This window comes from Homo sapiens, chromosome 1 (assembly GCF_000001405.40).
Source record: "Homo sapiens chromosome 1, GRCh38.p14 Primary Assembly".
Lineage (NCBI taxonomy): Eukaryota > Metazoa > Chordata > Mammalia > Primates > Hominidae > Homo > Homo sapiens.
Genome location: NC_000001.11, coordinates 78,619,025 through 78,646,421, shown reverse-complemented (window position 1 = coordinate 78,646,421; position 27,397 = coordinate 78,619,025). Strand labels below are relative to the sequence as shown.

At 34.7% G+C, this 27,397-nt stretch overlaps 1 protein-coding gene across 7 annotated transcripts, besides 3 other annotated features; it reads right to left on the bottom strand.

Moving 5' to 3' along the window:
* Positions 1-276: 276 nt before the first annotated feature.
* Positions 277-25,974, bottom strand: IFI44L (interferon induced protein 44 like). 7 transcript variants are annotated; one of them, NM_001375646.1, is made up of 10 exons: positions 25,851-25,974; positions 25,451-25,478; positions 18,029-18,516; positions 17,423-17,471; positions 16,507-16,702; positions 10,933-11,085; positions 9,219-9,390; positions 5,301-5,401; positions 4,813-4,987; positions 277-4,647 (listed from the first exon to the last, which is right to left on the bottom strand). In NM_001375646.1, exons 3-10 carry the CDS (start codon positions 18,504-18,506, stop codon positions 4,613-4,615), a joined length of 1,359 nt encoding a protein of 452 aa, NP_001362575.1. In that variant the 5' UTR covers positions 18,507-18,516; positions 25,451-25,478; positions 25,851-25,974; the 3' UTR covers positions 277-4,612. The 7 variants fall into 7 exon arrangements, with proteins under 7 accessions (NP_001362575.1, NP_001362579.1, NP_006811.2 ...); NM_001375650.1 differs by lacking the exon at positions 18,029-18,516; NM_006820.4 differs by lacking the exon at positions 25,451-25,478.
* Positions 22,537-22,756: an enhancer, noted in NCBI's record as "active region_1236". NCBI's record gives its function as "activates an Ori minimal core promoter by ATAC-STARR-seq in GM12878 lymphoblastoid cells {active_cell/tissue: GM12878}" and the evidence as "EXISTENCE:reporter gene assay evidence [ECO:0000049][PMID:35858748]".
* Positions 24,952-25,111: an enhancer, noted in NCBI's record as "active region_1235". NCBI's record gives its function as "activates an Ori minimal core promoter by ATAC-STARR-seq in GM12878 lymphoblastoid cells {active_cell/tissue: GM12878}" and the evidence as "EXISTENCE:reporter gene assay evidence [ECO:0000049][PMID:35858748]".
* Positions 25,921-26,260: an enhancer, noted in NCBI's record as "active region_1234". NCBI's record gives its function as "activates an Ori minimal core promoter by ATAC-STARR-seq in GM12878 lymphoblastoid cells {active_cell/tissue: GM12878}" and the evidence as "EXISTENCE:reporter gene assay evidence [ECO:0000049][PMID:35858748]".

Below are 27,397 nucleotides of genomic sequence, written 5' to 3'. Positions count from 1 at the left end.
CTAATACAGTGTCCATTTGATATGTCTATAATTCTACCATGCACATGAATCACTTTTTTTTTTCTCTCTCTCTGACCTTCTTGGCCATGGGAATTTGATAATCCCTTCTCTATAAATCTAACACTGATCATCTGTCTGGTAGAAGAGGGTCTCATATACTCAAAGCACCATAAATGAATTTATCTTGGTATGCTTATTTAAATTGTAGCAATGCATTCCCATGTTAGTTCCTTCTTTACCACTTTATCAAAACAGAAGACAAATGAGCTCAGTGGCTTGGATGTATGCTTCTTTGCATTTATTTTAAAAATGTGACATATATTGTCATGGAATGTGCAAAAGAAATCAATTTTTAAAAATGAAAAAATATATTTACACGTAATTATTTAGCACAGCTTGTTATTCAACCCCCCCACCTCCACCCCTGTGCCCTCAATTTTTGCAATTTTGCCTACACTGCACTTCCTGTCCTGGAGCCTGAAACAGTCTGAGTCTATTTGTTTGAATTGTGTTGAGGAAGGAAGTGGGATTGTGGGAGGGTACAGCTGAACATTGACTGTACTTCTATATCCATGATCTCACTGGCCCATTTTCTCCAACATCAGAGAAAGATTTTGCAAGGGTGTACAATTGGTATGCAAGTTTTTATCCTCCTTACATTGATGGCAAAAATCAGATCTATTTAATCTACTGTCCTCCACAAATTGGTCCATAGACTCATCAGATTAGGAATGGGATTTGAGGGCTTCCAAATTCCCATGGCTTTTGGTTGCAGGATTCCATGACGACTTTGATCAGCCTTGCCATCTTGTGGGTACCTTAGCATTAGATTGAGTTATGTTGCTAGGAGATGATTATTCATCAGCTGATCATTAAGCATATGGGGCTTACTTGGCCCCCCTATCAATTTGCGTCAAAATAAATTAATTGTAGACCTGTCTTGTTTTATGAAAAAGCAATGTGATAGTCTTTAAATTTATCTTTCTAAACAAGACACAAGTTTACACATTACCCAGCACAGTAACCCCTCTTGGTATTGTTGACCTAAAAGGAAGAAGTGTAGGAAAAACTGATATAAGTAGAGAGTTTATTTGGGCCAAGCATGAGGGTTACAACCCAACTGTATGGAGACAAGTTGTCCTGAACAATACACATTCTTATTAGCAACAGTTATAAGTAGGTTTTCAAAGAAAAAGAAGAGGCAGTTCCTAAGTTATTTACCACGAATTTACATTGAAACAGCATAAGCTATCAATTGGCTATAAATTGCTCTCTGTATCAAATTCCAGGAAAATGAAGATAATGTGCAAGGCAGCTAGTCGGGAACAAAATGACTTTAAACAATTGCCCCCAGCTATGGTTGTGGAGGGGCAGTGTGGCACACAGGAAGCAAGACTAAAGGAACATACTTATGTCTCTCTGGGCCTGCATACCTCATAGAACTCAAACTGCTCTATTTTTCTTTTCTCTATATTTTATTGAGGTAGATGGTGGGTGAGTTTGCACAAAGCTACAAATTTCTGTCAGAAACAGTCACTTTCTAATGCAACAACCTAACGTGCCCATTCACACCACAGAGGCTCTAGCATTGACATTTCAACTGTCTCCACAACATCACTCTCACTTTAAGATGATATTCTCCCAGCCAACACACATATAGGTCATCTGCTATACTCCTTAGCACTATTTTTCTAAGAAGAATTTAGTGTCTTTGACTGAGCTGTACATCTTGCTTAACCGTAAAGAATGTAAAGTTTCAAAAATCCTGGATGACCTCTAAAATGTAGCAAAATGATAATTCCCACCACCCCTCAGGGTGGTAGAAAAAGATCAGGGAAATCCACAAAATGGAAAATATCCTCCCAGACAAAAGATGTTTCCCCCTTTTTGAGGCCTCCTCACCAATATTTCCTAACCTAAATTTCAAATATGTATTTAACTCCATTTGATGTTTAAGTGTTTCCAAAGCAATATAGAGCCAGAGAATAAGAAGTTGTGGTATCATTTTGCCAATACTGTCCATTTTAGCACAAAAGGGATAACTTAGTGTCAACATTTATGCTCCTAAAGGATGTTGGGTCAAATGAAATGTTCCTCATTGTTTCTCTCTCTTGATCTCTCCTTCACTCCTTCTCTTCCTTGCAGGATCTCCAACTCCTTCATAAGGGCACTCTGTGTTACCCCTTTAAACAAAATAAAGAAGTCCTACATTCTGCCCAGATTTTTTTCAGGCTCCACCAAAGGGTTGGGTGAATTATGGCCCAAAAGTTGGTGAGGATGATGGTGAACCTTCAATCACCTTCAGTCTCCCAACCAACAATGGTCATGGCTTGTTTTCTCCCTGGATTACATGGAGAAAATCATGCCCTACTTTTTGGACCTGTTGCTTCTACATTTGTATGGTAACTGTGAAACCATCCTAATGAACAGCAAACATTAACCACTACATAAAATGTAGACTTTGAATAAAAACACAGCTAAGTACTAACCAACTTGCCCTTTAAGCCAATTCCCTGTAGCTACTTACAGCATGACTGTTAGCTCCTTTCCTTATAGTTTCTTACTGCCTAAAAGTCACATAGATGTGGTCACAAGGCACTAACTTCCCTTAGTTATTTCTATAAGATAATATATGTAACGTTAAGAAACATCAAGTTTCTATCTAAAAAGTTTTCCAGATCTTGGAATCCCATGGGTCTGCTGACACCAGTCAGTCTGAAGACCCCCTCCAAGGAATTGACTCAGCAAAAAAACAAAAAAAAAAAAAAACAACAACAAAAAAAAAACAAAACAAACAAAAAAAAACTTCCAGTTTTCATCTCTGTATGTTTCATTTCATTCCCTATACCCCAACAAATCAGCAGCTCCAGACCTTCAGCACCTTACCTGCCTTTCTCTTAAAAATCCTAAACTTAGACTCAGCAGGGAGGTAGATTTGAGGTTTCCTCAACCTTCCTCATTTTTCTGCCATTCAATTATTAAACTCTTTCTCTACTGCAATACCTGCTGTTTTGGTATATTGGTGTGTTACTGTGCAATAAGAACAACTCTGGTGAGCCTAAAATAACTTTTTCTGGTTGCCTCTCTAATTTTGTTCCCAATATCTACTTGTAGGCCTACCTCCTCAATTTCCATGGTTCTCCTATTCCTAGGTCTTTTTTAAAGACTTAATTTCTTCCACTGAATTGTGTCTCCTGAACATTCACTTGAGCACAACTTCACCTGCAGCCTTGCTTTAGGAAATATTCCATAACTGGACATAAGAAACTCTTGCTTTCTTAATATCTATGACTACCCAAAAGATGAGTATAATTCTGATTAAAACTAAATTAGACTGTCAGAATGTGGATAACTATTGAACCAAAGCATATTATTTTGAAGAAGACTAAGAATTTGGAGAAGAGAATTAGGAAGTCTTTAAGGAAAAAAAAAAGTGAAAGCTATCTTTTGGGAATTTTGTTTTCTTTCTTAATAGTACTAGCTTTCACAGCTAGTAAGAGGACTTCAGAATTATTTGGAGCATAAATATAAGAACTTTCTTACTGATTTGCCCCAGTAACCTAAATGGAAGGACACATGGCTAGGATGATTTGGAATTCAATTAATGAAAATCAAGCATGGGTTTGTTAGAAGAGGAATATTTATTTTTTCCCATAGAAATAAAATGTAAATTGTTAAAAAAAAGTTGGCTCATTTTAATTAATTCAATTACTTAGAGTCATTCATATTTTCATTCAGATATAAATGAAACACTCTTCCTTCTTTATTTTTATTTCCTCTCCCCAGCTTTTCATTCTCTTTCAGTCTTCCTTTCTGTTTTTCGTTTGTTTGTTTTGTTTTATTTGGTTTTTTTGAGCCAGGATCTCACTCTTTCTCCCTGGCTAGAGTACAGTGGCACAATCTCAGCTCACTGTAGCCTCCACCTCCAAGGCTCAATCAATCATCCTGAGTAACTGGGACTACAGGCACGTGCCATCATACCCAGCTAATTTTTGTGGGGTTTGTTTTGTTCTTTCTTATTTTTTTTTTTTTTTTTTGCAGTGGAGATGGGGTTTCATCATGTTGCCCAGGCTAGTTTTCCTTTCTATATACAGAAAAATTTAAAGTGAATGTGATGTTGGAGAGAGTGGGAAGGAAAAGTAATGGCAAGTATGCTTGCTCATTACCAGGCACTGTGCTAAGCTCTGTGAATACACAGATAAGTAAAATCCACGCTGTTTCTCAAAGAACTCACAATCTGTTTAAGAAGCAGATGTCTATACAATAATTTTATAACTATTATTCAATGTGATTAGTACTCACATAGCTCTATATAGAGTGTTATAGAAGAATAAATTAGAGAATATCTCATTTTTCCTCCAGTGGTTTAAAAAGATGTCACAGAAACTGAATTGTAAATGGTACGGAAATATGGAGGGGTGGTTTGCAGTAGGACCTATCTTAGCCCACCGCTTCTCAGGTTTTGGCCTTTGAACTTGAGATATGACTGTTCCAAGGACAGAAGGCAAAACGAACAAAAGCAAAATCTGAAGCAGGCTGTCAATAGAGATTGACTCTCATTGCGGCACACCAGTACAGGCTGGGCCAAATGTCAGAATCAAGGCAACTTATCTCAAATGCAGGGCTGTAACGCTCTCTCAATTGCACCTGAAAATGAAACAAACAAGAGTGGAAATGAAACATATATCCTAATGTAGCTTTCAGGACTAGGGCATGCAGGTGGGCCCCAGTCATCTAATAACTGATGTATAACTTAGGATTTTTCAAAAGGCACCAGTGATCTATGACAGGGGGAGAAAAGGGCCAGATTACCAGTTTCCTCAAGAGGCAAATCTTCTAAAAAATCATCTGCAGCCCGCAGCATCTGCCTCAGTGCAGAGAGGATGAGAATATCCTTCATGGGGTCCAGTTCCAAATCTGAAGCATAATTTCCAACCATCAAAATATTGGAAATAGGAATGCCTAGCATTTTATGGACATTCATGACCTGTGGAAAGTATATTTAAAAAGTGTAAGTCCTGTATTTAATATTTGAAATTTGACCAATTTTAAATACAATTTAAGAAAGAAACCAAAAAAGCAATGGCTTAATAAGTTATCTTCGGAACATACAATAATTCAGATCATTGCAGTTTTAAAGTGTGATATAAATTTGAATTAATCAAGCAATTGATCCCATTCTTCATTTCCCTGCAAATACACTCTGTAAGCACATATACACGTACAGACACACACAAACACACACACGTATGATTGTGATACTATTACAATAATATCTGGTTATGATCAGCATTTTTTACCCGGCTTTGAGAAGTCATAGATCTACTCATGTTTAAAAAGTTGTCTTGAAGAACCTCACTGCAATCATCCACTTTAGTAAGCAAGGCCACATATGCTATACCTATATCAAATAGATAAATCAGTTATTTTATATCATAAATAGCAATGTGTCAACAAGTTATTAAATATGTGTGAAGGCAACTCTATAGGGTGATTTTGAGAGCTGAAGAATGAAATATCCCCAATACATCTCAATATGGAGCCTGAAGCTTTTCTAGAGGAGAAATGATCTTTGATCTTTTTTTTCCAACATGTGACAGCATTTTTCAATGCAACTAAATCCACACTAAATTGCAATCATCTACGATTCCATTCAAATGGTTTGTTTTAAATTGGTCAAGGGGAAAAAAGGGGTTGCTGGACTTTGGGGACTAAAAAGAACCACAAGAAAAAGAGGAAGTGAGGAGGGTTGTGTATGAGCATTTATGAGAGCAAACTGTACTGATTTCACAGTTCTAATAGGGACCTACTCCTTTCTCCCTCAAACCACAGGGATTGAATTAGTAAATCACATTTGACTTCTAAACAAATCAAAATTCTGCTATGCTAACAACTGCTTATGAGGAAAATATAAGATTAATTTCAAATGCCAGTCAAGGAAGCTCCCAGGACTCTTTTAACAGGGCTTTTAGTACCTTCTTCCTACTAAAATCTTGTGTTTATTTTTTCCATTACTAAATGATTTCCTTTACTACCTTCTCTTCATTCAGGTTTCAGAGGAATAACTAGCAAAGTTGGCCAATTAATACCTAGGTTCTGGTAGAGAGCAGTTCTCAGTTGACACCTATAATTTTTTTCAACCTCTGTTGCAATGTAATTCTTCTGTTTCAAAATTAATACAATGTCCTTTTAGAGGTCCTAAGTCAGCACACTAAGTTGCATTAAGCATTGCCATCCAGCACGCCAAGGACAATGTGTTGCCATACATCCTTGAAAAGTCATTTTAAAACTTAGCATTTCTGTCTTACCCCAAACCCTCCATAATTTTAGAGCTGTTAAGTACTTATATAAGCTTATATATTTACATTGTGTATATCTAATGTTCACTACTCAGACTTTTGTTAGACAGTTTATTAAGTTCAGATGCAAAACTTATTATCCCCATTTTAGAAGAACAGGAGATAAAGTTCAGAGCAATTAAATTACCTTTCTCGAGGTCAAAGTTTACTACTATTTAAAAACTAGGTTCACTTAAGCAAGACCATGCTCTATACATTAAACGGCATAGCACTTTTCGGAACCTAAATATGTGATCTTTCTACTGATAAAGTAAGCAACGAGGCTTTGGAGTATAAATGCCCCAACAATTCTTTATATTAAAATCTTTTGGAAGTTCAGTGAGAGTACTTCCAGTTCTGGACCAAATGGAGTAGACACACTTTTCCCTCTTCTTTACACTAAATGTAGCTAAAATCTCTGGACATTATGCATAAATCAAACATAAAGATTGAAAAGTGCAGATAATGCAATTTGGCTAGAGACCTTGAGACCCAAGAAACAATACAGAGATGAGCTCTCTAGGTTTTCTTTTTACTTCATATGTCCCAGATTGGCTTTTGGAGACACTCACAACTGGAAAATACAAATTAGAGCCAGCAAAAAGGAAAATTTTTTTTGCTGTTGACTAGTTTCATCTAGTCAAAGCATGAGAAAAAGGACAGTGTAGCAAGACAGAAAACTTTCAGAAAATAGCCACACTACCCCAGTCAAACACCACAGAATTCACCTTAGCCCTATCCATGGATATGTCCTTCCCTTTCCCAACTTTCACCCTTAGCCAAGGTAGTATAAGAGAAGAAAAAAATGTAGGGAGCCAGGACATTTATACCTGCACTATACTAACAAGGTCCCTCTTGATGGTGTCAAGGGAGGCTACTTGGGGATCCTAGACTTCCACCGAATCAGCAGCAATGAGGTGCTCTTTTCCCTCTCTGGAAGTGTCAGAGGAGAACAAGTGAGAAGCTGGAACTTTAGCCTTCATTAACCTTCGATGCAAGGAGGCTTCTAGCCCCTGTGATGTCAGGGTATCCTATATGGGGCACAGTAAGAAAGTGCCCTTTCTCCAAGGGTGTCAAACAAGGCCTTATGGGAAACCTGTACTTTCCATCTTACCAGTATCAGAATATGTTTGCTAAAACACAAGATGTAAGATCCAGAGTCATAAAATAAAGTACCTAAAATATCGAAGATGCAATTAAAAATCATTTGTCACATCAAAACCCAGGAAATTCTCAACTTGAATGAGAAAAGCTAATCAGAAGATCATGACCCTAATTAGATGACAAAGATGTTAGAATTATTTGGCAAGGATTCTAAAGCAACCATCATAAAAATGCTTAAGAACCAAGTAGGAACATTCTTGAAACAAATGAAGGAAGTGGGATGTCTCAGCAAAGAAATAGAAGACCTGAAAAAGAATCAACTTGAAATTTTAGAGCTAAAAAACCATAATACCCAAGATAGGAAAAACAATAGCTATGCTCAAAAGCAGAATGGAGAGGGCAAAGTGATGAACAAGTGAATTCAAAGATATAACAATAGAAATTACCCACTCTGAAAAATAAAGAGCAAATAGATATAAAAAATAAATAAATAAATTGTGAGACTATAACAAAATATCTAGAATTCATGTCCCAGAGTTCCAAAAGGAGAGATGAGAGATGGCAGGGATGGAAATCATCATAATAGTAAGACAACTACAGACTGGGAGAAACTATCCGCAAACAATGTATCTGACAATTGACTCATATTTAGGATTTATAGATCTTTTAACATTCAACTTCTAAAAAACACAAATCATCCAATCAGAAAATAATCAAAAGACGTGAAGAGGCATTTCACTAAACAAGCTATACAGAAGGCAAATAAGCACATGAGAAGATGTTCAATGTCATTAGTCATTAAGCAATGCAAATTAAGACCCTGATGAAATATCAGCATACATCTATTAGAAGAGTTAAGGAATTTTTAATAGCAACGATACCAAATACTAGCAAGAATGCAGAAAAAATAGATCTCTCATGTATTGCTGGTGGGATTGTAAAATGGTACAGTCCCTCTGGAGTATAGTTTGGTGATCTCTTTCAAAGCTAAACATACAGTTACTTTATGATCCAGCATTACATTTCTGGAGATGTACCCCAGAGGAATAAAAACTTATATCCACACAAAACTTGATAGGAGTTTTGTTTGCAATAGCTAAAAACTGGAATATTTTTTGATAGAGCATGGTTAAACTGTGGTATATCTATACCATGGAATACTATACAATTTTTTAAATGAACAATAAATACATACATACATCTTGGATGGATGTCAAAGGATATTAGGTTGAGTCAAAAAAGCCAGTCTCAAAAGGTGACATACTGTATGATTCCATTTGTATAACATTCACGAAATGACAAAATTATGGAAATGAAGAAAATATTAGTGGTTGCCAAGAGTTAAGGATGGTGGAGGAATAGTGGGTGCCATGAGGGAAATCTACAAAGTGATGTAATATTTGGTTGCAGTGATGGGTACATAAACTTACACATGTGATAAAATGACATAGAACTATAAACACACATTGTTAACAATAATCAATTTTCTGGTTTCGATCTTCCCTGTCTACCCACATAGGTTTTAGCCCTATCTAAAGCCTCAGGAAAATCACACACGAAAAAAAAATGGTTGGCCAGTCTATTCTTTAAAGACTGAACATTAGGATTTGGGGTCTTTCTTCAGTCATGCCTGTGAATGATCTCTCCCTCCGATGGCCACCACTCCAGGGAAATAGGATGAAAGGTACATGGGAAATCTCTGTACTCTCTTTGCAACTTCCTACAAATCTATAATTATTTCAAAGTAAATTTTTTTATAAGTTCAGTGAGACTCACCACAGTTTAATACTTCTTTGTGAACTTGCTTCACTTTTGCCAACATTTTAGAGTAGAGATTGTCAATAGAGTTGATGTCTAAGACATAAGCCACACAGTGAATCCTGTCCTTCAGAGATGGAGAGGTGATAAAAGTAGAATGCTCAGGTGTAATTGGTTTACGGGAATTAAACTGTTATAAAAACATAAGGTAACATTCAGAAATCAGAGAGCCTCTGTTTAACCCTTAAAGACACAATTAATGCTTCTAATACTGTAACTACTGATCTCCCTCTTTCTCCTCAGCTACTCTTTCCCCAAACAGTAGCACCTCCTCTTTACTTCCTTTCCACTGTGAGCATAATGCCATTATATCTCTCTTATAGGAAAAAAAACACTTTATTGCTTTGGTAAAAATGATAATTATCCATTGTAAGTATTGCAGGAAAGTTTAAATAATATTTTTGAAAAGCTAATTTCAAATCCTAGTATCCAGAAATAAACACCATTAACGTTTGTTAAATACAATTTAAGACTCCTCCCTAAGCATTTTGCATGCTTAAATGAACTGGATAGAGAGAATAAAAGAAAGAAAAATATGTTGAAAATGCTATTTAAATTAAAAGACTGTAATTTATTTTGATTTTATAGAAGAAAAATAAACTAAAGTGAAATAAAAGAAATACCAAATTTGAAGTTAATGTCTTCTTACCACAAGACAGTAATCTTTCTAAGATTAAGGAAATAGATTATGAAACAATGGTTTGGAAACATGTAGTTATTAAGCTATGTATTTCAGTGTTGGACTGAATTGACTGGCTCCCTGCTGTGAAAAATTAGGGTGTTGGTATGCTCCTGATTTCTCCAATGTCTTCGCTCTATCCCTCCTCTCTTTATCTGTGTGTCTCCTTTTCCCTGACTGGATTATGAACTCCTGGAGGATAAGGATTGTGCTGTTATTGACTTATGTGTTTTCAGTAACTGGCTTAGAGTTTGGCACAAATATGGTTTATAATAGATGGTTTTTGAATGAATAAATAAATACATAGGTAAGGTTTCCAATTCAGCACAATTGGGAGGCAAAAGAGATTCTTCTTTAGAAATTGAGGCTGATACCCAACACCTAAAAGAAAGGTAACAATCATTGTTGGCTTTTTTGAGAACTTAAACTATATCATCTCATTTAATCATCTTAGCCACCCTATGAGATAGACACTATTAATAGCAATATTTCACACCTGAAAAAAAAAAAAAAAAGACCGAGAGAGAGAAGTGTGCAACTTACGGGTAAACATCTGTTAGTAGCAAAGCCAAATTTTGAATCTAGGTATTTAGTGGTGAAATCTAAGCATTTACAGTATAAAATGACATTTCAACACAAAATAGTTACTTGTTCCAATATTTTGTCTATGTAACCCAAAAAGTGCAAGGGATTAAGTGACTATCATTAGTTTACATTATTGTAAAGAGTGATAAAAACACACTATCTCCTTGATCTTTTACTAGAATGCAAATGAGTAGAATCCTGCCTTTTGGCTTTATTTCTCAATGTTACAGAAAAGAACAATAGTCACTCTACTTTTTCATATGAATTCTTATTCATTCAAAGTAGAATAGTGTTGATTGATGTTGAAACCACATTATGGGAGTTGAAATTGCCTTATGTGGTTAAAAATTCAATGAAAAATACTGAAGAAAATGATTTGAAATGTTTTGGATATTGAAGAAATCTTACCTGATATCTGTCTGGCATACAACCTTTTAAGATGTGGGGAATGTCATCCATGCACAGTCCTGCTCCTTCTGCCCCATCTAGCCCCATAGTGTCACACAACATAAATGGCAGAGATTTTCCATTTTTTCCATCTTTAACAGAATATATCCTATACTGTTAAAAAAATACATTAAGTGTAAAGGTTCATTCATCACCCAGCATTCAAGACATGACAATAAGAAGAAAAGAGATTGGTTAATATTTGAACACCATGGTCCTCAAACAGTTTGGTCTCAGGACCCCTTTAGACTCTTAAAAGTTATTGAGAATCCCAAAGATCTGTTGTTTATGTGGGTTATATCTATGGATATTTAAAATAGTGGAAATTACAACTGAAAAAAATGTAAATATTCCTTTTTAATTAAAAAAGAAATTTCTATGTAATTTATCATGTAAAACGTGTGTGTATATATATATATATATACACATACACACACACACACACACACATATATATATATATAATGGTATGTTTTGACTCCATGCTTTTTATATTTTGTGTATCTACTATCAGTATTTGTTTTGTGCTTAACCATGATGCTTACAAAAAATAAACATATTTGTAACTGGTTATTTTAAGTTAATAACAGCTCCACTTACAGAGAAAAAAAAAACACTCCACATTTTTACTCCACTCCTCCCCACAGTTTGCACCTTTGATACCACAATTTACATCTTTCCATATTGCATGTCCTTTAACAAAATCTTATAGCTATTATTATTTTAGCAGTTTTGTCTTTTAAACATCACCATCATTATAGTATGAGTATTCTGAATTTTACTGTAGTTTTACCAGTGAGTTTTATACTTTCAGATATTTTTATATTACTTATTAGCATCCTTTTCTTTCAGCTTGAAAAACTCGCTTTAACATTCTTGTAAGACAGGTATAATTGTAATGAACTCCCTCAGCTTTTGTTCATCCAGGAAAATCTTTATCCCTCCTTTATTTCTGAAGCACAGCTTTACTGGGTATAATATTCTCAATTGGATGGGTTTGTTTGTTTCTTTGTTTTTTCTTTTAGCACTTTGAATATTTCATCCTACTCTCTTGGCCTGCAGAGTTTCTGCTAAGTCTGCTGCTAGTCATATTAAAACTTTCTAATATGTTATTTGCTTTTTTATCTTCCAGTTTTCAGAATCCTCTCTTTGTCTTTGATATTTTACAGTTTGATTTTAATATATCTTGGGTTAATCTTCTTTGGATTAAATCTGACTGGGGACTTTTCTCTCAGTTTTACCTGGATATTTACATCATCCTCCAGGTTTTAAAAGTTTTTTGCTACTATTTATTTACTTAAGATTTCTATTACTTTTAATTTCTTGTCTCCTTTCCCCCTTGTAACTTGAATATTTGTCCTTTTGATGATGTCCCATAAATCCCATAAGCTTTCTTCCTTCCTCTTCATTCTGTTTTTTTATTCTCTATCTATATTTTCAAATAACCTACCTTTAAGTTCACAGACTCTTCTACTTGATCAATTCTGCTGTTGATGCTCTCTATTTCATTTCTCATTTCACCCATTGTATTTTTCATCTCTGAAATTTGTTTCTTTTTTATAATTATTACAACCTTTCTATTAAATTTCTTATTCTGATCACTCATCATTTTTCTCATTTTGTTAAATTGTTTCTCTGTATTTTCTTGAAGTTTGCTGTGCTTCCTTAAAATAATTATTTTGAATTCTTCGGGTGGTTCATACATCTCCATTTCTTTAGGATTGGCCACTGGCACGTTATTTTCTCTCTTTACTGACGTCATGTTACCCTGATTGCTTTTGACTCTTGTGACAATGTGTCAATGTATAAACATCTCTGGAAGTAGGTACTTATTCCAATCTTTGCAGATTGCCTTTGTCTGGAAAAGTCCTTCAACAATCAGCCTATCCAAAAATTCTGGGCAGGCTGCCTTGCATAGTCCCAAAGCCTGGGACCACTGTGACTGGTGCAGCACTGAGGCATGCGTAAAGCTCAGGGCCACTGCGGCATCCGTGTCACTAAGTGCTGTTCAGAGGTTGGGCCACTAATAACCCATCCATGGTGTGGTCCAGGGACTGAGTCCACCATGCAAGCTTGAAGCCTAGGGCCACATGGTCTCACTTGGCACCAGCATGGGGCTAGAGGCTCAGCCGTCAAATAACAGCCTAAAGTCTGGGGCCATGAGGTTCTATCCAGTGCTGGATTTTACTGCAGTAGGCCTGATATTGGAGTCCAGGCAAAGTCCTGTGCTCACTTCCCTCTTTTCCCCAAAGCAGATGACAGTTCTCTCCACACTATGCTCCCTGGGGTTGAGGGGGGTGATGCAGATAACGTAAAACTATCTTTCCTACCCTCTTCAATGTATCTTTTGTTATTATTGTGCTAGAACTAGGTACAGTAATCTTTCACCTGGTTTACTGAGGTGATATTTTGTGTGCTAATAATTATTCAAATTGATGTTTCAGTGGAGGAATGATTGCTGGAGAGACCTATGTGACCATCTTGCTCTGCCCCTCCTGCTCTTAAGTGTTGTTTTAATCATTAAAAATTCAATTATAAACCTGTCACATGTTCATCAAATAACATTTTTTACTTAAAAAGCATTTTTTTAAAAATTTACAGAAAACAGAAATCATTGGTTTATTAGTAAAATTCTCTTTAATGTCTGGATTAAAGAATATAACTGTAATCTCATATGTGGCTCCAATTCAATCTCTTGATATGTTGTTTCAATTGAAGTATGTGAAGAAAATATGGCCTCTCACATGTATGTATAATATGAAAAGGAGGTAATATTTCACTGTATAGCTTTCAGGTAATTGTGAATATTCCTCAATGTAATATAGCAAAGCTCAACAAGTAATAACTTCTTAAAGGTTAGTTGCAATGTGGAATCTGCGACATTTTTATATGCTGCCACATTAAATCCATTGGTTTGTCTTATACTTTGAATATATCCTTTACTCATGCATGATTTTTTAACCTAATTTATTGATCATCTTAAAACATTCGTCCACTGGGTTATCCAGATCTTCCTAATGTTGACACATTTCATCATGCAATATTAAAACATCACATTTGTTAATACCACCATTAATTTCATTGGATAAGTCTTTAAGTGTTGAAAAGCTGTCAGGCTCAGAATAGTGAATACAGGTTTCTCAAAGTTTGATTTTTCTCAAAAGCTCAAATTTTGTTATTGGCAACAAACACTGTCAGTTTTTGTTTTTGTTCTTTATTAGTAGGGTCACTTGAGCATTTGCATTAAGATACCTGCCAAATATCCAAGTATGAATGAGTAAGTCTGTGCTGTCCAGTAAAAATGATGTCACATTTAAAAAAAGTTCAGTTAACAACTCAGCTGCTCCAGTGCTTTTTCTAAAGACAACTGCCAATTTTCAATATGCATTAGAAGTACTTTATGAGCACTTCCCATTTTATCACACTGAATATCAAAATGATGTGTATTCCAAAGTGGAGTTTAAATAAAACCAATAACTGTTACTATTCATCAAGGAGTAAAACTGGCATTTTTTTTCCTGTAAGTGCAGTAATTGGGAGAAATACAGTGACTACTAGTAGTGTTTGGTGCCACCGTTTGATTCATACTAATGTGCCAACAGGTAAAACTATGTTGTGTAATTAATTCAAGTGTCAATACACTAGAAAAGACAAAAAAAACTTAGAATAATTCTAAAAATAGTTTTGAACACAGAGATACCCTTAAAATGTCTCCGGGAACCCAAGGGGTCCACAAATTTCACTTTGAGAAGCACAACAGAACTTTCTTTCCTAGATAAACACATTCAATCTTATTGCAAGGATATTTTCTAGAACAATTCTGAAAGTATTTTATTTGATGGTCAGATATACATTCAACATACACAAAAAAATATGGACGATTTGGGAAGATTGCAAAGAAAAGGATTTCTCAGAGACACTTTAATTACAATTTTTCCATCTGTGGTGCTGGCAAGGGTGTAGTATCACTCAAACCAGAAGGGAGAGAACAGTCTATGACTTATTGTAATCTGTAATAAAATCAAAAGCTCTCATTGGGCCATGAAACGCAGAGGCGTAATCCCACTGAAGATTTTTATCTAGGAGAATAGGACTTACCAGTGCCTCAACATGAAAGAAATTATACTAAGCACTAGAGTTAAAGTACATTGTAAAATTTCAGGAACACCAATATGCATCTTCCTAGTTTCCTTACCCATTAATTTGCTTTCTTTACAACTTCAATTATTCAAAGGAAAGAGTCTTTTAAGCAATAAAATATTCAATTTCCCTCATAAAAGTCTGCCCTATATTTCTTCAATTTAAATAACATTTGCATTTCATTGGAGTTCAGTATCTACATCTTCTCTTAAAATAAGACCTTTGGAATTTAAAACTTAAAAGGAAGAAAGAGAAATTTTGTCCTGAGTAGTATCTCTATTATAGCATATATCACAATGAATGATACAGATTTATTATCTGCATTGGTCTCTGAGATATCTGGGTAATGGGACCAAGCATTATTTGTATTTAGGTCTCTATGTCTGAATAAATATTTAGCAAACAGAAACATTTCAATCAATGCCTAATTAATTTAATTTGTGCTGCCGTACCTTGCCACGGCTTCTGAGACTACACTAATATATTAAAATAAAGCCACTCAAGAGCACAGTATCTGGCCAACATCAACAAATAAGATGTGATTCTTGAAAGTCCTAGAAAATTCTTCCAGTTATTGAATGTGACACAAAAGCTAAAATGAACCATTACTGTCTTATTATGCTGTCTTATGCTAAATTTTGCATTGATAATACACAGCATATTCCCTAACAAGTGACAATATTAATTTGTGGTAATCATTAAAAAAGCCTGATTCTAAAATTTTCTATTCTTTCCCTTTATTATTTTTTGTTTGATTGCATGTGCATGATAACATTGAAAAGCATAAACAAGAAAGAATTTTCTAGACAAGTGCTGCATCATAATTTGTAGTTCTTTAGAGCAACAATTAAGAAATCTATATTACTATTTATTTCCTTATGTATATCTTTTTGTAAATAAGATAGTTTTTGTAAGATTTACACTTCAAGTTCTCCTTCAAAGTTGACCCACCAAAGTGAATTGCTATTTTGCTTTTCATGACCATGTCTTAGAGAATGGTCTCGTAATTAAAAAAAATTACCTTACATAATTCTCATTATTTTATTACAAAAAAAGAAAAACATTTTAAACCAGGTAAAATCATGTAGTACATGAGTAAAATGAACATCATATATAATGGTCAAAGATTTTCATAGGGTTTTTAATTTTTTGTTGTTTTTTATACAAATACTAAAAAGTATTCTTTATATAACTGCTTCTTCCATCCATAAAATTTGAAAGCTTCTCTGTATAATATAGCACAATGGAGGTGGTTCTGATCAAAATTTTACTCCTATTTTCCATTTGATTTAGCATTTAATTGTATATTAGGATTGCCCTAAGAGAAAAAGGCAAAGACATAAGCAATATAATAATTGTAATCTATAAAATAAAATCCTCAGGGAAATAACTTACCCGCTCGGTTATGCTGGTGATATCAGACCCCACTACGGCTTGGCCAGTCACATGGCCATGAAAAATAGACTTGACTGAATTGAAAAAACTGGACTTTCCAGACCCAACTGGACCCACCAAAAGAATACGAATTTCTGAAACCAAGTCTGCATAGGGCCTATAGTCTCTGATGTCTGCTAGAAGCCTATTTCTGTGCCTGTTAAAATATAGTGGTTAAATACAGCATCAGAACAGCCAATAAAGAATACCATAAAGAACATCTCAAGTCACCTAGAGCTTCTTTCTCTTCCCTGAGAAGGGTATTTTTTCAATACTTAATTATTATTTTGATAATGAGATCTTCTATAATATGATTTGAAATATCTAAAGTTATACATTTTGTGCTTAAAGAAAATGCATTATTTTATATCTGACTAAAGTTAAATATTAACCTGCAACCAAACCATTTTTCAACTATTAGTCTTAGATCACATGAATGTAATAAGAAATATCAGTGACATTGAACATAAATTATTATTTTCACTAAAAGTACATTAAGGAGAAATCAAAATAAAATATATGCAATGTAGCTATCTATAAATTTAAAAAGAAAGTTTGTTTTTGACATTTACTGAGGATTCTCAAAAGCTGTTTCTCAAGGAAAGGATTCAGAGAAATTACCTAAAATGGTTATCCAGACCCTACCTGGAAAATTTTGGTCTAAAGTGGAAATGAAGTCAAATTGGTCAATGTCATCAGGTGGATATTTAAAGTTTCATAGTTAGTAGTGCTTTTGTTATTTTATGTCAATAACATTATAACTCTTTTTTAATCATTCCAGTGGCATGATTTTTATCTTTACCACATATTTGTCAGCATTCTTTATACAATTGGTCTAAATAAAATGATTAATAGATAGCCCAAGAATCCAACTTACTCTCTGGCTTTAATTATCCTCTTTATGTCGTCTAGGTTATCCTTAATTCCTATAGGAAATAAACATAGCATAATACATTTTTAAAACTTGTTTGGTTAAATGTGGCCAAGTCTACTTTTGAAATAAGACATGGAGTTTTCTTGCATAACCCAGGGCTGAGCTGCTCAGTTAGGAGTCAGAGTTGGCAACATGAGAGGAAGAGGAGGAAAAATTATCCTCTCTGCACATTAACTTGCTCTGGAAGCTCTCACATAATTACACCTAGAAGTTCTAAGGGTCATATAAGGGTCTGATCTTTGGGTCATATGTCAAAACAGAGCAGCTCTGATGATAAGATCTCTCTCTCTCCACATCCCCATCTCCTTTGTCATCTCTATCTCTGCACATATATTTCTCAACTTGCTTTGCTCAAAGCAGCCTATACGTTCTGGATAAAAACCTCATAATCCTTATGTTCCCCACGTTTCATTTCAGAATTTATCAAAGAGTATGGCATGAATCTAACTGTTCCTTTCACTTTCCTTGCTCTTGTAGATCAATTATTACCTACCGAACACAAGGATTAGAATCATAATGTGAGATGTAGGATTATCTAATTTTACAAACCTTCAACTCGAAAAACTTCACATTCCAAATACTGACGGTGGCCATAAAACCTTAGTTTCAAGTTTCTTGTTATCATTTTATCTAGATAAATTTTATTATCTCGACATATAATGAAAATATCCGTTTTCGATAAACGACACACCAGTTGCTCATCAATAATTTTTGGTGCTGTATTTAAGAGTAAAGTTTCTATTTCAGTGGTGTCATTTTTCTTTTGAAGTGAAAACCATAGGGAATCATTTGGCTCTGTAGAACTTTCATGTAAATTAATATAATTTCCAAGCATAAAGGCTACAATCATATTGTAATCAATGTAAGCCATTGTTATAGTACATCCCTGACGGCTGCATCTTTCAACCATATCTTCAATGCTACCTCCATGAACACTAGACTTATAGAGAAGACTCAAAGAAACATTTCCAAGCAGCTTGCGCAGATGATTTTCATCATTCCATGTCAATCTTGTTGTCACTTCCATTGTTCTATATCTAATGGAAAAACAATTATAGGTTGAGAAGCTTATATAATATAGTAGCTTATAGCTTAGGTTTCCACTTCTACTTTCAGTGAGTTCTTTATTCACTGACTCAATTAAAACACATTGTTTGGTTAAGGCAAAAAATATAGCAAAAATATAGAAATGGCACAATAATGTTAGATATAAAAATATATAATTTAGAAAGGAAAAGTCATTAAAATTTTTAAATCAATTGACAAACTTCAGAAAGTTGAATAAAGGAAAAATAAATCTCAATAAGAGTCAGCAAATTTTTTCTTAATGAACAAGATAGTAAATATTTTAGCCTTTGTAGGCCATATGGTCTCTTCCACAATTACTCAACTTTGCCACTGTAATACAAAAGAAGTCATAGATAATATGTAAACAAGAGAGCATGACTGTGTTCCAATAAAATTTTCTTTAAAAAAGTATATGGCTGGAACAGAGGTCATCATTGTCATATCACATTCATCATTTGCCAACGTATGAATTAGAAAATGGAGCCTAGGAATTCTTGCAAAAAACAGCACATAAAGAAATTGAAATATGAAAGGAGTTAACAGCTATAGAAGTCTTACAGCAGCATACTAGACTATTGGTCATTACAAGAATTATTTCAATGAAAAAAACTTGAAAAGCAGAATAAACTATAAAAATGCATGTGTTACAAAGCTCTAAAGAGCAAACAAGGCAGTTAAGACATATAGCTATTGGCAAAGATTTGGAGAAGTTAATAAAGAGAGATAAGCTAGGCATTTGGGAGCACATTTCTGACGTGTATCTGTCAAATTCAGAAAAGGCACTTGAGATGCTGAAAAGTTAAGCAAAGTGTTTGCTAGATTCATAGAGTTAGGGAGATAAAAATCATACTTTGGAGTGCAATAAGGAGAGCACCTTGGAAACCTTTCCCTTAGGCTACAGTTTGGGATTCTAAAGAGCTACAGAGAAAACCAAAAACCATATGCTCTCACTTATAAGTGGGAGCTAAGCTATGAGTACACAAAGGCATACAGACTGATATGATGGACTTTAGAGACTCAGAAAGGAGAGGATGGAAGAGGAGCTAGGGATTAAAAAAAACTACATATTAGATACAATGTACACTACTTGAGTGATGGATGCACTAAAATCTCAGAATTCACCACTATATAATTCATCCACGTAAAAAAAAACCACTTATACTCCAAATGCTGTTGAAATAAAATTTTAAAAAAAATTTAAGAAAAGAGGTACAGGGAAGAAGTATGAACTGGAAGCAGACAGAGTTAATTTCATACTTCAGTATTCTCAGTCCTTGATTGAATTAAGGTAAATGAGAATTGCTAGTGTCCATAGCTGCATAGCAGAAACAAAATAAATCTTGTCTGGATGAAAAGAACATTCTTCCAGCTTCAAAATATCTCTATGATTTTTTAAATATTCAGTGACTCTCATTCATCATAAACACATTCATGTTTGGAGGTAAATGAAACAACATGATAGAAAACCAAGAGGAAAAAGCACACACTAGAAACAAACACATACTTATACTGGAGTTACCCATAGAGATTTTTAAATTACTATGTTTAATATGTTCAAACAGCTAAAAGGTAAGATTGAATGATTTACAGTAAAATGAATACAATAAGAAGTCAAAAAGAGATTTGCTATGTAAAAATATATATCTGAAATTAATAATTAAATGAATACATTTAACTGCAAGGTAGGCATAAAGAATTAGAAGAAAATTTACCAACTGAAGTATTGAGACAAAAAAAGAATAAAAAGAGAAAAGGGCAAAAGGGATTAAAGGATACAGTAAAATTAGTTAAGATATATGAACCAGAAAACAAGAATAAAAGAAAAAGAATATAGAAGAGATATTCTACAAACCTTAAAAAGCAAGCAAGTCTCAAAAATTTTCAAAGTACTATAATATTGAACAGACAGTATATGCCAGAATTTTTTTAACAAGAAGATAACTAGTAGATCCCCTCATACATTGGAAAATAAAAAATATAATTTGAAATAATCCATTATTCACATAAGAAATCATAATGAAATTTAATTAAATGACAAAAGATACTTGTTAAAACTTATACAATGAAGATAAAATGTTACAAAAATCATATAAGTTTAAACATATGTATTAGAAATGGAGAAAGGCTGAAAATTAATTATATAGACTTTCACTTCAAAAAGTCAGAAAAAATACCAATTAAACTCAAAGTAAGTAGAAAGAAATCAACAATAAAAATAAAAGCAAGAAATAATGGACAGAAATATTAATGGACAAATCAAGTATACAATAGAGAAGATTAACAAAACCAAAACCCAGTTTTCAAAAGGATTAACAAAATTTGTAAAACACTGCTGACACTGATAAAGGGAAAAAAGGGAAAGAATGTCCTAAAATCAAAAACGTAAGAGAAAACATCAGTCCAGATGCAATAAATGATAAACGATAAAATGGTCTGAAGATAAACAACTTTGTAAAATTAAATTTGAGAATAAGTGGACAAATTTCTAGAAAAATACAACTTACCAAAGCTGACATAAAAGTAAATACAAAATTTGACTATCTCATAGCTATTTTTAAAAACTAAATTCATAATTAATTTAAGACTTCCCCAAGAAAACTCAAGGATCAGAGTCTAGCTGCTGAATTCTACCAAATTTTGAAGAATAAATAATACACAATCTTACACATGTTCTTCCAGAGAATAACTTAGATACCAAAACCTGTTAATGGCGTTATAAGCAAGAAAAATTACAGGCCAATCTCTTTTATAAATATAGATGGAATGATCCTCAGCAAAATATTAGCAAACCAAAAAAAAAAAAGGAAGGAAAGAAAGAAGGATAATACTGAGTCAAAGCATGTCATGACAAAATACAACAGCATGCTGTCCCCAAGAACTCACTTAGACTTAAGAACACACATAGGATGAAAATCAAGTGATAATAAGGGTACCTTTGCAAATGGTAACTGCAAGAACCGCAAGATAACCCGCAAGGGGTGTGTGTCCTTATCCCACACAAAATAGACATTAAATCAAAACCTGTCATAACAGGCTATGAAGGACATCATATAATAAGAAAAGGGTCAATTCTCCAGAAAAATATAACCGTTATAAATATATGTTCATCCAACATCAGAGCACCTAAATAAATGAAGCAAACACTGAAAGAATTGAAGGGAGAAACAGCAACACAATAAGAGAAGGAGATTTTGATAGCCCACTTTCAATACTTTATCCATTATAAAATATCCAAACAGAAGATCAATAGGAAAACAGAAAACTTGAACACTATAGTCCCAATGGACCTAATAGGCATATACAGGGCATTCCACCCAGCAACAACAAAATACACATTCTTCTCAAGTGTATTATAGGAGCGTTCTCCAGGATAGATTACATGTTAGGTCAAAAAACAAGTCTTAACAAATCTAAGAAGATTGAAACCATATCAAGTCTTTCCTCATAACCATGTAATGAAACTAGAAATCAATATCAGAAAATCTAGAAAATTAACAAGGATGTGAGAATTAAACTACACCCTCTGGAATAAGCAGTGGATCAAAATGAAATCAAAAGGGAATTTTAAAAATATCTTGAGGCCAGGCGTGGTGACTCACACCTGTAAACCCAGTACTTTGGGAGGCCGAGTTCGGCGGAACACTTGAGGTCATGAGTCTGAGACCAGCCTGGCCAATACGGAAAAGCCCCGTCTCTAACAAAAATACAAAAATACAAAAATTGGGTGTGGTGGTGTGCACCTGTAGTCCCAGCTACTCAGAAGGCTGAAGTAGGAGAATCGCTTGAACCTGGGAGGCAGAGATTGCACCACTGCACTCCAGCCTGGGTGACAGAGAGACACTCCATCTCAAAAAAAGAAAAGAAAGGAAAAAAAGAAAAGAAAAGAAATGTTGAGGCAAATGAATATACAAACACATTTTAGATTAGCATTTGAATTAGTAAACTGCATAAAAAAGATCCAACATGAGCTGACATCATCCAATCCATTGAGGGCCCAAATAGAGCAAAAAGGCAGAGGAAGAGCAAATTCTCTATTCTTGAGCTGGAGTATCCATCTTCTTCTGCTCTCAGATATCTGAGCTCCTGGTTCTCAAACATTCGGATTCTGGGACTTACACCTCCAGCTCTCTCAGTTCCCACAGTTCCCAGGACTTTGATTTCAGACTGGGAGTTCCACCACTGGCTCCACCAGTTCTCAGGCATTTGGATTCAGACTGAATTACACCACCAGCTTTCCTGGCTTTACATCTGGCAGGTGGCAGATAGTGAGACTTCTCGCCCTCCAACACCACATGAGCCACCTCCCATAACAAATTTCCTTAGTTTTTTTTTAATTTTATTTTTTTTATGTTGGTTCAGTTTCTCTGAAGAACGCTGACTAATACAAATTGGTCATCTCAATAGATACAGAAAAGACATTTGATAAAACCCAAGTCCTTCCATGATTTAAAAAAAAAAAAAAAAAAAAAAAAAAAAAACAAAAAACACTTAAACCAGGAGTAGAAGGAAATTACCTCAACATAGTAAATACATGTATAAAAAGTTCATAGTTAACATCATATTCAGCAGTGAAAAACTGACAGCTTTTCCTCTAAGATAAAGTACAAGACAAGATTATCCACTTTTACCACTTCTATTCAACATAATACTGAATGTCCTAGCCAGAACAAGTAGGCCAAAATAAAAAAGAAAGTGAAAAAGGAAAAGGTACCTGAATTATAAAGGAAGTATAATCATCTCTGCTCACAGATGATATTATCTTATATGTGGAAAACCTTAAAGCATCTACCGATAAAGTAATAGTATTAACTAATTTAGTGTGCTATTTATCTATTGCTGCATAGCAATTTCTCATACGTTTAGAGACTTAAAACAACACACATTTATAGTCTCACAGTTTCTCTGGGTCAGAAATCCAGTTTGGTTCTCTGCTTCAGAATTTTTCATGAGGCAGTTATCAAAGTGCGAGCCACAGCTGCAGACTCTTCTGAATGTTTAACGGGAGAAGGACATGCTTCCAAGCTCCTATGGTTGTTAGCAGAATTCAGTTCCTTATGGTTGTAGATATGAGAACTCCATTTCTTGCTAGCTAATGATCAGAGGTTATCCTCAGTTCTCAGTTAGTCATTGGCCTGAAGTCACCCTTAGTTCTTTGCCAAATGGGCCTCCCCAACATGACCACTTACTTCATTGAAACCAGCAAGGGAGAGAATCTCCTAGCATAGCAGACATTATAATCTTAACATATCACATTTGCCAAATTCTATTTGTTACCGTTAAGTCACAGTTTCCATCCACAGACAAGGGGGGATTATACACGGACATGAGTATTAAAAAAAAAATAGGACAGGGACAATTAGGAGCTATTTTAGAGTCTGTACACCACATTGTAAAAGATAGCTGAATACAATCAATATGTTAAATATTGTTTAGTATGGTCAATATGTTAAAATTCCTTCTGGTGTCTCTCAGGTTTATCACAGCAACCTTTCTATTGTGAATTTCTATTAACAATAGAAAAGATATGGAATCAACCTAACTGTCCATAAGTGGATGGATAAAGAAAATGTGGTATATTACACAATGGAATACTATTTAGCTATAAAAACAGTAAAATCATGTCATTTGCAGCAACATGGACGGAACTGGAGAATATTAAGTGAAATAACCTAGGCACAGGAAATATCACACGTTCTCACTCATCATTTTAGATCAGCTAAAAATGTTGATCTTATAAATGTGGATAGTATAATGATAAATACTGGAGGCTAGGAAGGGTGGGTGGGTGTCTAGGAGGGAGAGATGAAGAGATGTAGGTTAATGAGTACAAATATACAGTTAAATAGAAGGTAGAAGTTCTATTAGTCAACAACAAAGTAGAGTGACTATGGCCAAAAGCAATGTATTGTCTATTTCAAAGTAGCTAGAAGACTTGGGTTGTTCCCAGCACATGGAAATAATAAATACTCAAAGCGATGGAAACCACAAATACCCTGACTTGATCATTACACATTCTAAGTGCATCACCAAATATCACCTGTACCCCATAAATATGTAATGTATTATGTATCAATAAAAATAAAATTAATATAAGTATATTAATTTTTTAAGTTATTGTGTAAAACCATTTTTGCTGGTATATAAAAACAGAAGTAATTTTAACAAATTATACTAGAGATCATATTTAGATAAATATATACACACATACAGAAAACCATAAAAACAATTATGACAATAATTTATACCAAAGTCTAGATAATGTTGCCTTCTGGAAATAAAAAGAAAGGTAAAGAATATAGGAGAGGCTAGGTGTGGTGGCTCACACCTGTAATCCCAGCACTTTGGGAGGCTGAGGCTGGCAGATCACTTGCGGTCAGGAGTTCAAGACCAGCCTGGCCAACATGGTGAAACCTCGTCTCTACTAAAAATACAAAAATTAGCCAGGCATGCTGGTGCACGCCTGTAATCCCAGGTACTTGGGAGGCTGAGGCACAAGAATCCCTTGAACCCAGGAGGCTGAGGTTGCAGTGAGCCGACATCGAGACACTGCTCTCCAGCCTGGGCAATAGAGTGAGACTCCATCTCATAAGAAAACAATATATAGTAGAGAGTCATAGATTTCTTCAACTTTATTTGTAATGCTTTTGTATTTAAGTAAAAGAAAACTATTCTAATTTAAAAAGCAAATCATTTTTAAAATTGGATAAAACTATATCAGATTACAGTATGGTTCATTTATACTCTCTAGTTATCTGTGTGTGAAATTTTCATTAAAATAAAAGACAAATGAAAGAGCAAAGTATTAGCAGCAATTCCACTCTGAAACTCCTTTTTAGAAAAAAAGAAAGCAAGCTTTTTTCTTCACACACAGCTAGCAAAATTGGATGGCAAGAAGTCACTTACCTGTGATGTTCTCACTCACACGTGGAAGCTTAAAATAAAAGTTGATTTCATGGAGGCAGAGAGTAGCATGGTGGTTACCAGAGGTTGGGAAAGTCAGAGGAAGGAGATGATGAAAAGAGGTTGGTTAATGGTTACAAAAATACAGCTACATAGAAGGAATAAGTTCTTGTGTTCATAGCACAACAGTTTAACTATAGTTAACAATAATTTATTGTCTATTTTGAAATAGCTAGAAGAGAAAATTTGGAATGTTCCAAATACAAAGAAATGATAAATGGTTGAGGTGATGGATTTCCCAATGATCCTGATTTGGTCATTACATTGTATGCTTGTATCAAAATATCACACATAACCCCATAAATACGTACAAATACTATGTTTCAATTAAAAAGTCGCTTACCTGTTTCTAGGGGTTAGATCAGGCTTAAATTGAGGATTAACTGTTCTGTCTGATTTATCGAGCAGCCACGGTTTGGAGACAGAAAGTTCTTAAGAGATCTGTGGCTTCAGAGACTCTAGGAAAGAAAGAAAACTGAGACTCAAAGCAGCAAAAAAACTCAGCTGGCAGCATGCCAACTGCCACTAACTTTCTTTTTCCTCACTAGGAAGAGAAAGAAAGAAACCTGAAACTCAAAGCAGCAAAAAAACTCAGCTGGCAGCATGCCAACTGCCACTAACTTTCTTTTTCCTCACTAGGAAGAGAAAGAAAGAAAAAAAAAATCTTGCTGAGCACATAAAAACTATCACTGGTCCCCTTGTATGTATGTAGGCAGGCATGAAATGATAACTACCAAGAAGAAACTGCAGTAAAGCTAATAGTTAACATTTCTTGTGCATTTTTCTACTTCCCTCGTTTGTCCTACATTTATTAATTGGAATTTAGAGTTGTACGTGGCATTGTGTAACTGCATACCTTTTCCTAATTTCTCCTCAGAACAACTGCGTACAGTAAACACTATGACTATCCCTATTTCTTAAAGTACAAAAAAAAAATTTAGCTGATAGAATCGTGGAGCTGGATGCTGTTCAAAGCCAAGCCTGTCTGCACTGGAACAAACAGATGATGATTCGGCTTTTGCTGAATTCATAAGGCATTACACTGTTCATTTGCTCATTTACTCCTTCACTCAGTCCACACTGGCATAGACCCTGGGGAAGGATAACGGTGGGTAAGATTTAAAACATAAAAATTAAAATGAAAAAAATGCCCTCAAAGAGAGTGCTGTATACTCAAGAAGACAGTCAGACACAGACAACTGAATTACTGGGCTAAGGACTAAACAAGATTCTCTGAAAGCCAGGAGAACAGTAGCCTCATCCAGTCTTGGGGCACTTGTAAAAGGCTTGCTAGCAAATCAAAGTTTAAACTGAGACATGAAATGAAAGCAAGGAAGTCAGGAGAACACGGTGTCATCAGGGCCATCCAAGTATTTCGGTCTGTCTGGAATGGAGTGACAGCATTGGATTCATAAGCGGTGGGGCTAGGGAGGTGACGAGGGTGCAAGAGGGCCTTGCAAGTTTTTAATTAAGTTGGATTTTATCATTAAGACAATGAGAAGTTATTAAGGCTCTAAAAGCAGAGGAATGGCATATCAAAATTGAATGTCTTAGAAAAAAAGGGTGTATCAGTTTTATCTTACTTTGTAACAAGTTATCACTATCCACAGGCTTTAAAACAATTCAAATATATTATTGCACAGTTTCCATGGATTAGGAGATTAGCATGACTCAGCTGGATTCTCTGCTCAGGGTCTGTCACTCAAGGTGTTAGCCAGCTATCGTGTCATATCAGTCTCCAATAAAAGGAAACAAGGCTACTTGGAGAAATGTTTGACTACAGGTCTGGGATCACAAAACTACAAAATGAACGTAGAATATCTTCTCATGCCAGAAAGTAAGAAGATGCTCAAAAACAAATGGGGCGTATCAGAAGGCAGAGAAATGACC

Bases quoted from the DNA above. Each gene is read 5' to 3' on its own strand.
- IFI44L (NM_001375646.1), bottom strand. From the start codon at position 18,506: ATGGAAGTGACAACAAGATTGACATGGAATGATGAAAATCATCTGCGC. The intron at 16,703-17,422 runs GTAAGTTGGATT...ATATTTTAACAG, and splicing joins AGGATAATTAAAGCCAGAGA to GCACAGAAATAGGCTTCTAG. The intron at 5,402-9,218 runs GTGAGTCTCACT...TATTTGATATAG, and splicing joins CAAAGAAGTATTAAACTGTG to GTATAGCATATGTGGCCTTG.